Raw genomic sequence first — 16329 nt, 5'->3', positions numbered from 1 at the left:
CCTGCCACCTCCACTGGAGCAGGTGCTGGTATTCATGGCTGGGAGTCCTGAAAATGGATCACATCACAGGACTCTTTGCAGACATTCTCCAGCACCAGTCAGGAGCCTAGTAGCCCCAAAGGGTGGCTAGACCCAGAAGGGAAATAACATTGATTGCAGTCTGGCTCTCAGGAAGCCCCATCCCTAGGGGAAATGAAAGGGCACAATATCAAGGGATCACCCCATGGGAAAAAAAGAATATGGACAGCAGCCCTTGAGTTCCAGATCTTTCCACTGAAACAGTCTACCCAAATGAGAAGGAACCAGAAAAGTAATTCTGGTAATATTACACAACAAGGTTCAATAACACTACCAAAAGACCACACTAGCTCTCCAGCAGTGTTTACAAACCAAGAAGAAATCTCTTAATCGCCAGATAAAGAATTCAGAAGGTTGATTATTAAGCTACTCAAGAAGGTACCAGAGAAAGGTGAAAACCGACTTAAAGAGATTTTTTTTTTAAATACAGGATATGAATGAAAAAATCTTCGAAGAAATATATATAATAAAGAAAAGACAATCACAACTTCTAGAAATGAAAGACATACTTAGAGAAATACAAAATACACTCGAAAGTTTCAACAATAGAATTCAGCCGGGTGTGGTGGCTCATGCCTGTAATCCCAGCACTTTGGGAGGCCGAGGTGGGCAGATCACCTGAGGCCAGGAGTTGGAGATCAGCCTGACCAACATGGAGAAACCCGTCTCCACTAAATATACAAAATTAGCTGGGCGTGGTGGCACCTGCCTGTAATCCCAGCTACTCAGGAGGCTGAGGCAGGAGAATCGCTTGAACCCAGGAGGCGGAGGTTGCAGTGAGCCGAGATAGCACAATTGCACTCCAGCCTGGGCAACAAGAGCAAAACTCTTTCTCAAAAAATAAAAAGAAAAGAAAAAGAATTAAACAATGATTTAAAATATATGTTTTTTTTGAGACAGAGTCTTGCTCTGTCACCCAGGCTGGAGTGCAGTGGTGCAATCTCGGCTCTCAGGTTCAAGCAATTCTCCTGCCTCAGGCTCCTGAGTAGCTGGGATTACAGCCGTGTGGCACCAAGCCCAGCTAGTTTTCTTGTATTTTTAGAGGAGATGGTGTTTCACCATGTTGGCAAGGCTGGTCCAGAACTCCTGCCCTCAAGTGATCCACCTGCCTCGGCCACCCAAAGTGCTGGGATTACAGGTGTGAGCCACCGTGCCAGGCTATCATTCTAATCATAAGTGAGGGATAAGATTTTAAGAGGTAAAAGGGTAGGGTGATTGGCAATACTACAGGCTGAGGTACCAGTGGGAATGCAGAAATGGGACTTCATAATTTTATAATTTATAGTTGATTTGTAATCAGAGAAAATCAGATAACTGGAGCAGGGAAGAGGGCACCATTAGTCAGCACCAATCAACAAACTTAGATGAGTTGAGTAGGCCAATTTAGAAATTTTTTTTTTTCCTGAGATGGGGTCTCACTTTCTCGCCCAGGCTGGAGTGCAGTGGTGCAATCATAGCTCACTGCAGCCTCCAACTCCTTGTCTCAAGAGATCCTCCTGCTTCAGTCTCCTGAGTAGCTGGGACTATAGACCTGCACCACCATGCCCAACTAATTTTTAAAATTTTTTGTGTAAAGATGGAGTCTCGCCATCTTGCCCAGGCTAGGACAGCTCTCAAATACTGAATATTAGATTTACGCTCAAAGTTGATTATTTTCCCTATGTATGTATTATACTTGGGCTAATGGAGTTATTATATAAACTTAAAGAAATGCAAGCATTATAGAACAAAACCACAAGAACAATCAAGAAATTGAACTTTGTACCAAAGTACTTAATGATAACATGCTCTGACCTGAGAAAAGAATTGCAGGATATTTCATGTTTTAGCTCTATCAAGATGTCATTTCTTTTATAGCTTCTGAGCTATAAAACTGGGTCTTCTCTATAGATTCTCTTTTAGAACAAACTTTCCCCTTCCAAAGTCTTGAAATCTACTTTAATGCTGCCCTATACTCTTTTTATTAAAGGAATATCTTAATTAAATCCTCATTCAGTTAGTGAAAAAAGTCATTCATAATTTCTTCCAAATCCTTAATGAGTCTACAGATTAGGGCATTAAGGATTACTCCTCTCAACAAATGACATTTCAGTTGAGCTGGCATTAGCTTAATCTTCTTGGTTATTTCACATTGTTAATATTATCCATTAAACATCTTTAAATTACTAAAATCCAGTCTATTATTAAGGCAGAAAAAAATCATTTTTATGACTATGTACTTTAGAATTCTCAGTAGTAAAGGTATTTTCCAAACTCTTCAGTCCAGCTTTTGAGCCCTGCAACAACTACCCCTGTGTCTGGCTTACCCACCTCATTTTTCCTTTTCTTCCAGGTGGTCCCAAAGAAACATCAAGTTAATCTTCATCCCATCCTGGGAGTATGACCAGCTGGTTCCTCCACCTATACTGCTAACAATTCTGGCACATGGTAAGTTGAATAAATAGTTGCTGAATTGAAGTAAGTCTCATCTTTCCATCCTCTGCAAATTCGCATTACTCATACTTACCAAAGATTGGCTGACATTTCTCACAGAATGAGTTCAATGAATAACTAGCTCTGGCATCACTGTCCTTCTGAATAGGTCCTCAGCATTGATTTTATCCATCTTCTAAAATGCATTTCAGGATGTGTTATCCAATAACCAGTATTAGGACAAATCAAAATACATAGAGAAATAGTTAACTTAGATTTCTTCCTCACATCTCTTCAAATATAAATTCCAGATAGACTAAAATGTTAAAATACAAAAAAAAAAAAAATCTAAGTCTAGAAGAAAACACTAGTGAGTTTTATATAACATTTGGGATAAAGACTTGCTATAGCAAAGGCAGTTTAACAGACTTGATTATATAAGCTTTTTTAACTGCTTTTAAAAAGAACAGCAAAAATAAACACTTGTAAATTTAAGTTATGAAAAATATTTGTGATGAGATAAAATGTTAATTTCCTTGAGTAACAAAAATATCTTACAAATTTGTAATAAAACAAGAGTTTTAAAACCCCAATCAAAAATGGCTAAAGTACATTAACAGGCAATACACAGAAAAGAGAATACAAACATTTAATAGACGTATGGCAAATTGTCCCACCTCACTAGTAATCAAAGCAAACTGAAACAAAAAGATGCTATGCAGTGTAGGCATTGTGGAGAGGCTACAAGTAACAAAAACTTGTGTTTGGTACCCAGTGTTGGTTTGGGTTCAGGAAACAGACTTTCTCATACATTGCTGGTGAATATTAAAAAGCCCTTCTGCAGAGCATTTTCAAGATGCTCTTCACCTCCAGAAGTTTATCCTAAGGAGTTAACTCCTGTGGCCAAAAATTTAGCTAAAGAATTCTTCATGTCATCATTTCACACAATACTGAAAGCACTGGGAACAATCTAAACATTCAACAGTTGGGAATTGGTTAATACATGATCATATAACTAAACAATGATGTAGTCGTTGTAAACAATGAAGTAAAATATTAAAAGGGCTAGAAAGCTGTTTACTGTAAAGTGAAAAGAGCAGATGCCCAGGTTTAAAATGTTTATTTCTGAGTAGAATTGGGTATAATTTGCACTTTCTCATTTTTATTTATCAGAATTAGCAGTATTTAAAGGAAAAAATCTTTTTACAGTGAGCATGTGTAAGGAACTCCCAAGAATAGGACTTTTCAAGCTGAAGTTGAGTTTAGACAATATTATGGATTTCAACCTCCAGGCATTTACAACATGTATTATTCTTCCATTTTGGGAAATCTAAAAGGCAAACCTTCAAAGGGCTCTTTCTTGGTCATATGGAAACTATTTTTATTATAAAATGACTTTTTTACTCTCGTAAACCCTCAAAAAATTAGTATTAATAATTTCTGGAGCTTCCAAGATATACAAATGACCAAAGGTTTATCTCTTAAGCTGTACATTTTTATACCATATTATAGCTACTTTAGATGAACATCTCTCTAATATTTTATGCACTTCCGTGCTGGCTTCAGTAATGCTTGTTGAATATGACTGAGACTCTTCCAGATAGCTCAAGATCATGGCTGTGCATGTCATATCTGATTCTATGATATGCCAGTGCTCTCAGAGCTACTAAGATACGTGACTCTAAATGGCCTCAGTCATAGTGCTTTCTAGCTTCAGTTGCAAAATTTTATGTTATTCGTGTTTCTTCCCTGGCTGTCAGCTGTTATTTGTCTTTTTTTTTTTCCTTTTTTGAGATGGAGTCGCCCAGGCTGGAGTGCAGGGGTGCAGTCTTGGCTCACTGCAACCTCCACCTTCCAGGTTCAAGCAAGAGCCTCCTGCCTCAGCCTGCCGAGTAGCTGGGACTACAGGCATGTGCCACCACATCTGGCTAATTTTTTTTGTATTTTTAGAAGAGACTAGGTTTCACCGTGTTAGCCAGGATGGTCTCCATCTCCTGACCTTGTGACCCACCCGCCTCGGCCTCCCAAAGGGCTGGGATTACAGGTGTGAGCCACTGCACTTGGCCCTGTTATTTCTTGATATTGTCTATATGCTAATGTGGGTTAGCCTCTCAACCCAAATTCTTCATTGAGACTTCTAGTATGTGGTGAGGTTGGAAACTACATGACCAAATCAGCAAGAATTATGTGTAAAATTAGAATAAACAGTCTCTAAGGGAAGTTTGAGGGGTTTTCTTAAGAATAAAGTGTGTACATTATGTTAAGTGCCAGGCACAGAAAATAAAACACCGCATGTTCTCACTCATATGCAGAAGCTTAAAATGTTGATCTTAAAAACGTTGATCTCATAGAAGGAAAAAGTAGAACAGAGGATATTAGAGGCTAGGGAGGGTTGGGGGAAGCAGGGGAATGGGAGAAATTTGTTCAAGGGTACAAAATTTATTGCCAGATAGGGGGAATAAGTTCTAGTGTTCTATAGCACTGTTAAGATCACTATAGCTAACAATAATATATATTTTCAAATAGCTAGAAGAGAGGATATTGAATGTTCCCAACACAAAGAAATGACAAATGTTTGAGATACTGATATGCTAATTAGCCTGATCTCATCTCTATACATTGTACGGATTGAGACATCACTATGTACCCCATAAATATTTATAATTACTATGTGTCAAGTTAAAAAATAAATAATAAAAAAGATATAACAAAAAAAGAATGAAGTGCGCAGGCTTAATGCATCCATTTTATGACACTTATTTGATGCTGCATATCCTATATTTTAGGAGATACAACTGCTGTATAATTAAGTTCCACAAAGACAATGTGCTACTGCATTTTTTAGGCTCAAAATTTTCAAGAATAATTTATTTAATAAATTCTAAATATAGACATTAATCGTTTCAGATCTTTTATAAAAATATTACAAACAGATATGATATCAAGGTGTTGTCATACTGACCACTTATGTCATGGTGTTCCTGTCTGAATCAACCAAAAAAAAATGATTGATTCAGATAGGAACACCATGACATAAGTGGTCAGTCACTTCTTTTTGTATAAACTGTACTGCAGCAAAGCTGATCTATGGTTTTGAAAGTCAAGATAGTGACTACCATTGGGGTCAATCACTGGTACATAGTATCTCTGGGTCACAGTTACTATTTTTTCTTGATCTGCATTTGGTTTACTAGATGCTTTTACTTGCTGAAAAGTCACTGAGCTACACACTTATGATTTGGGTAGTTCTCTCAATGTACCTTACTCGTCAAAAGAGTTTTTACACAAAAATTAAGTCCTTTGAAATATAAAAATCCAGCAATCCCCCTCCTCGGTATCTACCCACAGGAAAAGAAGTCGTTATACAGAAAAGATACTTACACATTCATGTTTATAGCAGCACAATTTGCAATTGCAAAAATATGGAATCAGCCCAAATGTCCTTCAATCAACAAGTGGATAAAGAAAATGTGATATATGTATACCATGGAATACTCAACCACAGAAAGGAACAAACTAATGGCATTAGCAGCAACCTGGATGGAATTAAAGACCATTATTCTAAGTGAACTAACTCAGGAATGGAAAGCCAAACATCGTATGCTCTCACTCATAAATGTGAGCTAAGCTATCAGGATGCAAAGGCATGAGAATGACATGGTGAACTTTGGGGACTCAGAGGGAAGTTTAGGAGGGGGTTGTGTGATAAAAGACTACCCATTGGGTACAGTGTACACTGCTCGGGTGATGGGTGCACCAAAATCTCAGAAATCACCACTAAAGAACTTATTCATGTAGCCAAACACCACTTGTTCCCCAAAAACCTATTGAAATTTAAAAAAAAAAAAAAAAAAAAAGGAACTGTACAGTGGAATTTTGTCTTTGGGCTATAAAGGGCTAACAATTCTTGGGTTTTTTTGTTTTTGTTTTTGTTTTTGAGATGGAGTCTTGCTCAGCCACCCAGCCTGGAGTGCAGTGGCATGATCTTGGCTCACTGCAACCACCATCTCCCGGGTTCAAGCAATTCTCCCATTTCAGCCTCCAGAGTAGCTGGGATTACGAGCACCCTCCATCATGACCGGCTAATTTTTGTATTTTAGTAGAGATGGAGTTTCACCATGTTGGCCAGGCTGGTCTTGAACTCCTGACCTCAGGTGATCTGCCCACTTCGGCCTCCCAAAGTGCTAGGATTATAGGCATGAGCCACCACGCCCAGTCTTACTAGTTTCTTAGCAACAAATGTTCTTCTTTGGTGAATTTGGACTATATGTTACCACTTATTTATTCAAACAAAGTACACTTTCTCCCATGGTGGAACACAACAAAAAGTCCAAGGTCTTTAGTTGGCCTCAAAGGCAATTAAAATTTTATTGGAAATTGATGTTTGATTGTTTCAATCAATCTTTTTCATATTCTTATTTTGAAGTGATGGTTTGTTGCTCTCCTGCTCCACTTAATGAAAGGGGTGTAGGGAGGATCAAATAAGATAATGTTTGTGAAAGTATTTTAAGTGCCAGACTAATAGGTTACCATCACTGCTATCATCATCATGATCATCATTACCATCATCAGCAGCATCCTTGTATTTACCGTAGACTAGAAAAAATGAGCTTGAGATAGTTGTCATTCCCTATGGTTATTTTGCTTATTTCTAATATCATGAACACTAGACTTATATCATGAACACTAGACTTATATCATGAACACTAGACTGCCTCCTGAGCTAGAAATTCCCACATCAGAGAGGGCCAATATGTGGCAGGATTGCCTGGGTACCATCCACACTGAAGGAAAATCATGAATCAGTCATAGTACTCTTTTTCAGCTGAGCATGGCATTTGCATCAGAATTCTTCTCAATACTGCATTCTAATTGTTTAAATTTGATATGTGAGAGCAAACCTATTTCCCATCCTGACCTAGGCTCTAAGGCTATTTCTGTATAGGTAAAATTACAGATTCATAGCATTAGAAGATGAGAAGGGTTGTAAAGATTTATGAAGTCCGGGGTTTATCAAGCGTGGTCCTTCAGCCACCTACAGCATCATCTGGGAATTTGTTGAAAATGCAAATTCTTACCCTCACACCCCAAACTACTGAATCAGACACTCCAAAGTTAGGATTCTAGAATCAAGGTTTTAACAAGTTCTCCAGTGATTCTGGGAGTTATAAAGTATGAGAACCACTGCTGCAGTCCAATCCCCTCAGTTCTTGCTCATAAAGAATCTCAGGTCTCCAGGTGTCAAGCAATTTTCCCAAGCCTATCCATGGAATTAGTTGCCTAACAGAAACAATAACCAACTTTCCAATTTCCGGGTGATGTATTGGACAGTAAGTTAAAAAATGCAACAAAAAAGTCCCTCAAATGTCTACCTCCTTAAGTTTCTAATTGGAAATGCTTGTCATTGCCTGGCATCTTTTGGGGACTACCCCCCAACATTTTAGTCTCTATGGTTCAGGTGTAGAACCTTGGGTGGGCTCAAGATCTCATTTAGCCAGAGCACCCCTCAATCCCCTCACTCCTGCCAAGAACACAGACGACGCAGACACTAGAGGTCACGTATACCTGAAACTTTCAGTCTTCACTGTTACATTATGAAAAAATCCTGACTGAAAATAAAGTCAGTACAGAGAAAAGTGAGACTGAGAGATGGACAGAAAAAAGTGATAGTTTTCATGACATTGTTTCAACTTCAACTCTGGTCTAGCTCAGCCTGGAAGATACAGAGAATTGTCCTGTTATGTAAATGCCCTCCTCTCCTCTTTTTTTTCACTAATTCTTTTGCAAGGGCATTATTTTTAACACCTGTAGTTTAATCACCAGAGAGTGTGGGCTGTGCAGGGCAAGGTTCTCCACAGAGTTTCTTTCCAACAGAGTCCCTTCAAGAATGCCAAATGCTGCTTTAACTCTGATGCTAGCTCCCCTAGAACACTGACAGGACTAGAAACTTGTAATAGTCTCTATTTCTGCTAATATATTACATAGTGTATTCAGAACAGAGTCCCTGGACAGCCATATCACACTTCATTTTATAATAATGAGAGGCAGAGATCTCTTCTTTGGTGCACTGAGAAATATTAATGTGGAACTAAACAATTCACAGAGGCCAGTCCTTTGTCAAGATCAATCTCCCCCAGCTATTTGAAGACCCTTAATATATTCTTCTCGTGAAAATCTTGCCCAACGGAAAGTATGATGGAATACTTCTTCCACCACCATGCTCCTGCTCCCTTTCCTCCGGTTTCCTCTATGCCCCCACCACCTGTGGTTTGTGGACACATTTCTTAGCAGAGTTATCTTCCTTTCTCTACCCCACTTCAACCCAGAGCTCTCTAGATGACACCCCCACCACTGCACTGCCATGGTTTCTTTCCAAAGCCCCAGTTCCTTAGTTTCTGTCCTGATTCTTCTCACAGCTTCCTGTCCCGATCTCCCCATTGTCCCGATCTCCCCATTCTCCAGCTTCTCATCTAACTTGTTCATGATGTATTGCTCTTCACTTGGGTTCTTTTCTCAGTCACTGCTTCTCCCTCCCTAGGTTTTTTCTGAATGGTCTTTTCTTTCCTCTGATTTCAAGTACCACCAAATCTATGGATCCATCCTAAACCTCTTTCTCTTCCTTCAGCTCAGATTTAAGGTAAATGATGAAGATATCCACAGTATCTTAAATTCAGCATATCTAACCCCTAAAAAATGCTCAATACCTCCCACACCTGCCCGTTCCTGTCTGCACGATATCACCAGTCGGCATCACCATTCACCCTTCACCTTAGCTTCACATCTGACCTTCATCCTTAACTCCTCCTCCACCACTTCCCACGCAGCCAACCCTCAACCATTGCCTTATCTTTCTTCCTATGTGGTTATTGAATCCCTTTTATCACTCCTAGTTCAGATGCTTATCATTTCTTATGTAAATTATTGCAGTTGACTTTTAATTGGTTCTCCTGCCTCTAACCCCTCCCTGCTCATAGCCACCAAATTAATCCCATGTGAAATATAAATCTGTGTTGCCATCTTGCTTCCATATGTCCAGTGGCTCTCTAAGTCTGCAGGAAGAGAACAAACTCCTTAGCATGGTGCAGGGGCAAACAAGCTCCTTGCCTGGTGCCTGTGCATTCCAAAAAAATTAAATTAATTCTGTTTCTCTCTCCTACTGAGCTGTGTCTCTGTCTTTGTCTGTATTCTCTCCACTGTCTGTAAGCACTTCTTGCATCTTCACTTACTATTCCACGCTTACCTGCTAAGTATCAGCTGAGGCCTGGCCTTGCCCAGGATGCCATTCCTAACTCCACATGGCTAGATTGGATTCCTCCTCTGGGATTTTATTAGCTTGGTACATGTCTCTTTTTCCAAATATTTTAAAGAAATCATTTCTTTGTAAGTCCACCTCTGCTTTGAACTATGACCTTCCTGAGAAGAGGAACTGCATCTGTTTATCTTTGTGACTGGCTGGAAGTAACAGCTTAGTGACTGCTTCCTAAATGGATGAATCAGAGGGCTGGTGAGGTTTATAATGCATGGGAGTCTGAAAACACCATTTATCAAAAGTACACCAAAGATAAACTCATTTAAATGGCACTATTTAAAATGGGCCATACTGAGCCTGCCATCAGAATCACCAGAGTGTCATTAGCCCTAATTATCTTCCTGAGTTTAATTGATACTTAATAAGGTAGAGCATTGGAGGAGATATTTATTCCTCTAATATTCATATCATAACATAATGCACTCTTGCAAATTCAAAATTACAGCTTTGTGACCTGAGGAGGTAAAACATAGTTTGCCTAGAGGAAAAGTGTCCTTCAAGCATCACCAGAGTGTTTAGAAAACATGAATTAAAAAACTTCTTGACAAAATGCAAATATCCTTCTCCTTCCATCTGTTCTATCTAACATTCTTTAATACATGAAAACTGTAAAAATTAATAAAAGATGCTATAAATGTTACTGCTGAAGAGAGTCCTACAGGATGAAAGAGGTGCATTTCAGCCTCATTAATCACCACACTGCAAAGGCATTGGGAAAGGATTCATCCCTCAATTGTCAGGTGATAATTAAAATGATCACACCACATGAACAGAAAGAAAAAGTGCCTCCAGTGTCACTGCGTGGGCAGGTGACACCAATCTCGCCCTAAGTCATTACCTATAGTGAGCAGAAATAAGGAACTCTCTTGTTTAGGGCCAGTGAACAGGCTGGTAAGGTCTAATTTTCAGAGATCCAAATTACAGCGCTGGGGCAATTGAGAGTGATTTCATTTAAATGAGTGCACTAGAGCCACATGGGCCCACAGACAAGGGCTGCCCTCTTCATTCTTTCAACAACACTCTAACATTGAGTAGCCACTGGCTGTCTACCAGGCATGTTGCATGTACTATTTGATTTTCACCATAAACCTCTGAGGAGGGTACTGACACCACATTTCACAAATGAGGAAACCGAGACCCAGAAAGTGAATGATTTGCCTGAGGTCTTTGAGGGGCATAGCCAAGACTGAAGCCCAGACAGTGGGCTCTACTCTCACCCACACCAAAGTGTGGTTTGTACCAGCAGCAGCAGCATCTCCTGGAAGTGTGTGTGAAGTGTAAATTCTTGGGCTCTGCTCTAGATCTATGGAATCAGAAACTCTGGGAGTGGGGTCAGCACTGTGGGTTGTAACTAACCCTCCAGGGGCATCTGCGGTGCTTAAAGTTGATATCCATCACGTTCTACTATAATACCATGTGTTAGGGCAGGGCTTCTCAAACTTTAATATGCATGCAAATCACCCGAAGGACTTGTTGAAATACAGCTCTGATTCAGTATGTCTGGGGCAGGGCCTGAAAATCTGCATTTCTAACCAGCTCTCAGTTCTGCTGGTAGTGCTGGTTTGTGGACTACACCTGGAGAAGTAAGGCCCTAGACTGACTGTAAGCACCTGGAAGCCAGGTTGGCTTTTTTCCCTGCTGTACTCCTGTTTAGAAGACTAGCTGACCCATATTTTATGTTGGATGAATACACCACGAGTCAGGATGTCTGCATATCTGATGTATGGACTGCAGAATTGGTGTGAATATATTAATATTGCTAACTTGAAATGCATCTGCCCAATCTGACTGTCAAAATTACTAATCACAATATGATCAATCATTGATACTCATGAACTACCATTGCCCATTGATGTGACAGACTTTTCATCGTTCTAATCTTTTGAGTGAATATGGCACTTTGGATTTGCCAAAGAGAAGTGAACATATCATGTTTTGGAAAAGGGGGCAGGCTGTGGGAAGGAAGCCAGAGAGAATAAACCAAGGTTTGAGGAGTATTAAAAAAGAGATGCCAAAGAGCTAAAAACAGAATTACCATTCAACCCAGCAATCTCATTACTGGGTAAATACCCAAAAGAATATAAATCATTCTACCACAAAGGCACATGCATGCATATGTTCATCACAGCCCTATCACAATAGCAAAGACATGGAATCAACCTAGATGCTCATCAACAGTGGACTGGGTGAAGAAAATGTGATAAATATACACTATGGAATAGTATGCAGCTGTAAAAAAAGAATGAAATCCTGTCCTTTGCAGCAACATGGATGCAAATGGAGGCCATAATTTTAAGCAAACTAACGTAGGAACAAAAAATCAAATACCTCACATTCTCACTTATAAGTAGGAGCTAAACACTGAGTACACATAGACACAAAGAAGGGAATAATAGACACCAGGACCTACTTAAAGTTGGAGGGTAGAAGGAGGGCGAGGAACAAAAAACTACCTATTGAGTATTATGCTCACTACCTGGGTAATGAAATAATCTGTACACCAAACCTCAGCAACGTACAGTTTACCCACGTAACAGAACTGCACATGTACCCCATGAGCCTAAAATAAAAGTTGAAAGGAAAAAAACGTAATTCTCGTAACACAAAAAAATAATTAAATAAATAAAGGACACTAGGGAGATAGGTGATTTGCAGTTGGCTAAGCCTCTGAGCATTGCTCCATGTTCCATCCTACCTGGACTAAAAGTTAGAAAGTCATCATTTAGGGTCAAAAAAAGAAAAGAGTTGGAAAAGCAACGGACCTCCTTTTCTACTAAAGTGGCTCAAAACTGTTGGAAGAAGTTGAATCAAAGTTGATATAAATGTCATAAAAAACATCTTTAACAGAAAAAAAAAAGGTCACACAATAAACCTTGAATAAAGAGTTAAGGAACGCACCAAGTGTTCAGAATGGCTAGACCATAATGACATGAGCATGAAAATGAGAAAAAAACAAAAAATAGATAGCTTTCTGGATCTCTTCCAGAAAGTGAAAAATACACTTCTCTAAATCCGTAACAAATATCTGGGTCCTTCAAGGAATCAAATATTTTTAAATAGCCTACAGGACACAAGACTGTAACTCTTCCTAAGTGAAACACTTGAGGAAGGTAGCTCTTGAAGTATCTGGGTTGGCTGAACATTGATAAACACAGTACATTGATTGTAATCACTGGGCTGCAGTGATTTATAAAAAATAATTCCAAAAATTGATTTTGGACATGTCACAAAGCTCAAGAACAAGACGTCTCATTCTGCCAGAAATCCCCAGCAGAACTGAGAATAACGCTGAGCTGTATTAAAATGGTAGCATAAATATTACTTTGTTTGATTAAAATTTAAACAAATTGTAATGAACAGATACAACGGCTCTTTTAGACTTTATATTGACCACATTTAAAGATCAAACAGCCCAGCAGGAGTATATGACTTTCAAGCACTCTCAAAATTAGTATTTTGACTAAGATTTTTTGAACTAATATTTATAGAATATTTATGTAACTGGGGCAACTTAATATTCTAAACAATGACAATTCTTCAAAGCATTGCTCTAAAAGGAGGAATTTATAATACATACACGATTAACATTTCATGACTGGCTGATACAAGATAAATTTTGATGTAAAAATCTGATGATCCCTAAAGAGAGGCCTTCAATATGATTGTTATAATGACTCATTAATAAGCCTGTGAAGGGCATAACCAAGCTCCATGCACATGCCATTTTTTAATGATTATGGTCAGAAGTAGTATTAATTACTTTTTTAAAGCACAGAAATACAACTGGTAGACCAAAATAGAACACTGTCCCCTGCTTGCTAGCCCAGTGCCCATCACTTCTATAGTACCTAGAATCACATCCACTTTGGAGTCTATTGGGAATGTGAGTAATCCAGAAAACACAGGTATATATCCTGATTCAGAATAATAGAAGCTCCTTGATGTTACATTGCAATGGCTTTTCCAAAAGATATTCCAAACATCTTTTGCTTATTACAGATGCTCTGATATGCTGCCCAGCCACTGAGAGGGCTGCCAGAAAGTCCTCAGATAACAGCTCCCTTTGGAACCTCTAGCTGAAGAGAACCACTTTGCCCAAGTTTACTACCTTTTCCTAGGACAGCCAGCACACAGTGACTGAGCGCTGTGTGCATCCCTGCCTGTTAAGTCAAACTGCAAATGCTCATTCCGGCTTCAGAATGTCCGAGGCTTCACTGGAGATGACTGAATCCCAGCTTAATTTCTCCTACTGTCCAACTTTCTTCTGTAGTAGCTTCCCCAACAGGTGTGGACCCAAAGAGCACTACCTAATAAATCTTTGGCATGTTAGTCACATCATAGTCTGCTCCCCAGAGAACTCAAAGTGTAACAATTAGTAGTCAACAACCCAACGTGTAGCAATTACTAATCAAAGTTCTCCTTCAACAACTGTCTTTATGGAGAACTAGGAACCATGGTAATAGGACTAAAGCTCCAGGTTCTGGAACCATGCTGTGATGCAACGTGCAGGATTGACCCAGAATGACCTTAAATTCTCACTGCCTAAAGATTGGGCTGTCTGGGAGGGGCCCAACCACCTTGTCCCTGCAGGAGGTATTGTATTACCCATTTGGTGGTGGAGATGGGGGAGGGTGGGGAAAGGGGGGGAGGGTTTCATAACCCAAGGCCCAAAATTCTCCAGAGGTTGAGAAGCAGGTAATCCTAGACAAATGCTATAAACAAACAGCTGAAATCCCAAACCAGATGGCCTAGCACCAAATTGGACTGCTTATTTCCCCTGACAAGGCCACTTTCTCACACCTACTCTAGAAAAGGCGGGATGGCAGAGAGAGCAAGTTCTCTGCACTGGAACACAGGATCTCCCTCCCTCACAACCTCCCACATGTCCAAAGGATGGCTGGCTTCTTCAGGTCTCTCTGAGGGTGCATGGGAGGAAGGAAGCATGTGGCTTTTCTCTCATTGATGCTGGCTGCATGTGGCTTTTCCTTTCCCTATTAAAGTCTGCCAGTGGTGTTGGAATTTATCTTGAATTTTTGTGGCTAACAAATGGACACCTGTATTGGGCCCTCCTTGCACAGTACTGCTGACCACAAAGGAATGAACTCTGCTTAGTACCACTTACGGCTTTTTCAAGACATCAGAGGGGTTAATGGCTACCTGAAAAAAGTTGCTAGGAGAGCCAGTGGTAGATTGACCGGGGCATCTGAATATCCCAAAACCAGAGAGCAGATAGCCTGAAGTGAGAAGTTTTAAGTAGCTGGGCAGAGTTGACCATCCACTGTGGGCAAGAGCAGAATTGTCTTCAGTAGCCCTGAGTGCTTCCTCAGCATGGCCAAGTCAACAAGCTAAAAAGCATGGGATGGTGGAGCCCCTATCCTTGATGAAGGAACTGTACCCCAGCTCAGCTCCCCAGGGACCATGGGCTTCCTCTCCATGATAGGTGGGCTGTTCCTTAACCAAAGCCATAGGACATTATGAAATTCGTCTTGGACCCTGGCGTGTGACAACTGAAGGCCCAAATGGGACCCAAGTTGCCCCTCCAAAGGTCTTCTAGTATTTCCCACAAGAATAGCTTTGATTTATATATAGCATTACCTTTTAAAACACATTCGCATGGATTAATTCAGTAAGATCTCAGTAGGTTCACATCAATGTATTGAACTTTTCAAGGGACGTATTAAGTAATCCATACATTTTCAGGGAGAAAAATTGGATCATAGGGTTGGATAAAGGACATTTTTCTTACTGATTTAAGAAAAAAAATGTATAAAGGGCTAGAACTTGAATCACAGTTACTTGCACATGTAATAAATTATCTTTTTTAAAAAAGGTAAGATTACATGCAGCTTGTACAGAAATTCCTAGAGATATGGTCAGCATAATTTAAGCGCATGATATAAGCCCTGAAGCTTACTTTAAAACTTCCTTTGATAAAAGCTTTAAAGAGAGAGAGATCAGATGTTCAGAGGCTTAGGTGAGAGGAGGTTGGAGAAAAGGAGTTAGAGCTAAGAGGAAGTGACTGATGGAAAAGAACACAGAAGTCTATGATTAGGCAAGGCAGGATGCTCCATGTAGTCTGTACATTCAAAAGCAATTTTACAAATGTCCCCCAAATACACTACCCAGGACAATGTGGCATCCCTGGAACAATGTGGACTTGCTGTTTCTTTTCTGAAATGCCTGCCCTACTTCTCCTCCTCTGGGAAATAGGATACATTTCAATAAAATAAGATCCATTCAATAAATACATGCTTATCAGAGGCCCACTAGGTGCCAGATATTTGCTGGGGGCCAAATAGGAAGAAGTCATAATGTAAGAAACAGACCCACCAATTATTGCAGTGGAGTGTAATGGATGATTGAAATGGGTCCTAGTCTTGCACTTTGAAGAGCATGAGTAATGACTACTTGATCTGAGAATGTCATATTTTGCTATATACATAGCTGCCTATAACTGCCGTCTATGGGGAGAGGGTCACTCCATAGAGTTAATCTGCCTATGAAATTAAGAAGGGACAGAAGTTTTATCT

The 16329-nt window shown here is 39.8% G+C and overlaps 1 protein-coding gene and 1 long non-coding RNA gene across 5 annotated transcripts in view; one reads left to right on the top strand and one right to left on the bottom strand.

The window, feature by feature from the left end:
- Nucleotides 1-16329, bottom strand: part of CLVS1 (clavesin 1) — a 536782-nt gene that overhangs the window by 107816 nt on the left and 412637 nt on the right. The window lies entirely within an intron of this gene.
- Nucleotides 14316-16329, top strand: part of LOC105375870 (uncharacterized) — a 29091-nt gene continuing 27077 nt past the window's right edge. The window contains exon 1 of the long non-coding RNA XR_928951.3: nt 14316-14392. This is a non-coding gene — a long non-coding RNA (uncharacterized LOC105375870). The remainder of the gene's footprint in view (nt 14393-16329) is intronic.

The sequence above is a fragment of the Homo sapiens genome, chromosome 8 (assembly GCF_000001405.40).
Source record: "Homo sapiens chromosome 8, GRCh38.p14 Primary Assembly".
NCBI lineage: Eukaryota > Metazoa > Chordata > Mammalia > Primates > Hominidae > Homo > Homo sapiens.
Note: the sequence above shows the minus strand (reverse complement) of the source record. Positions and strands in the feature narration are given on the sequence as shown.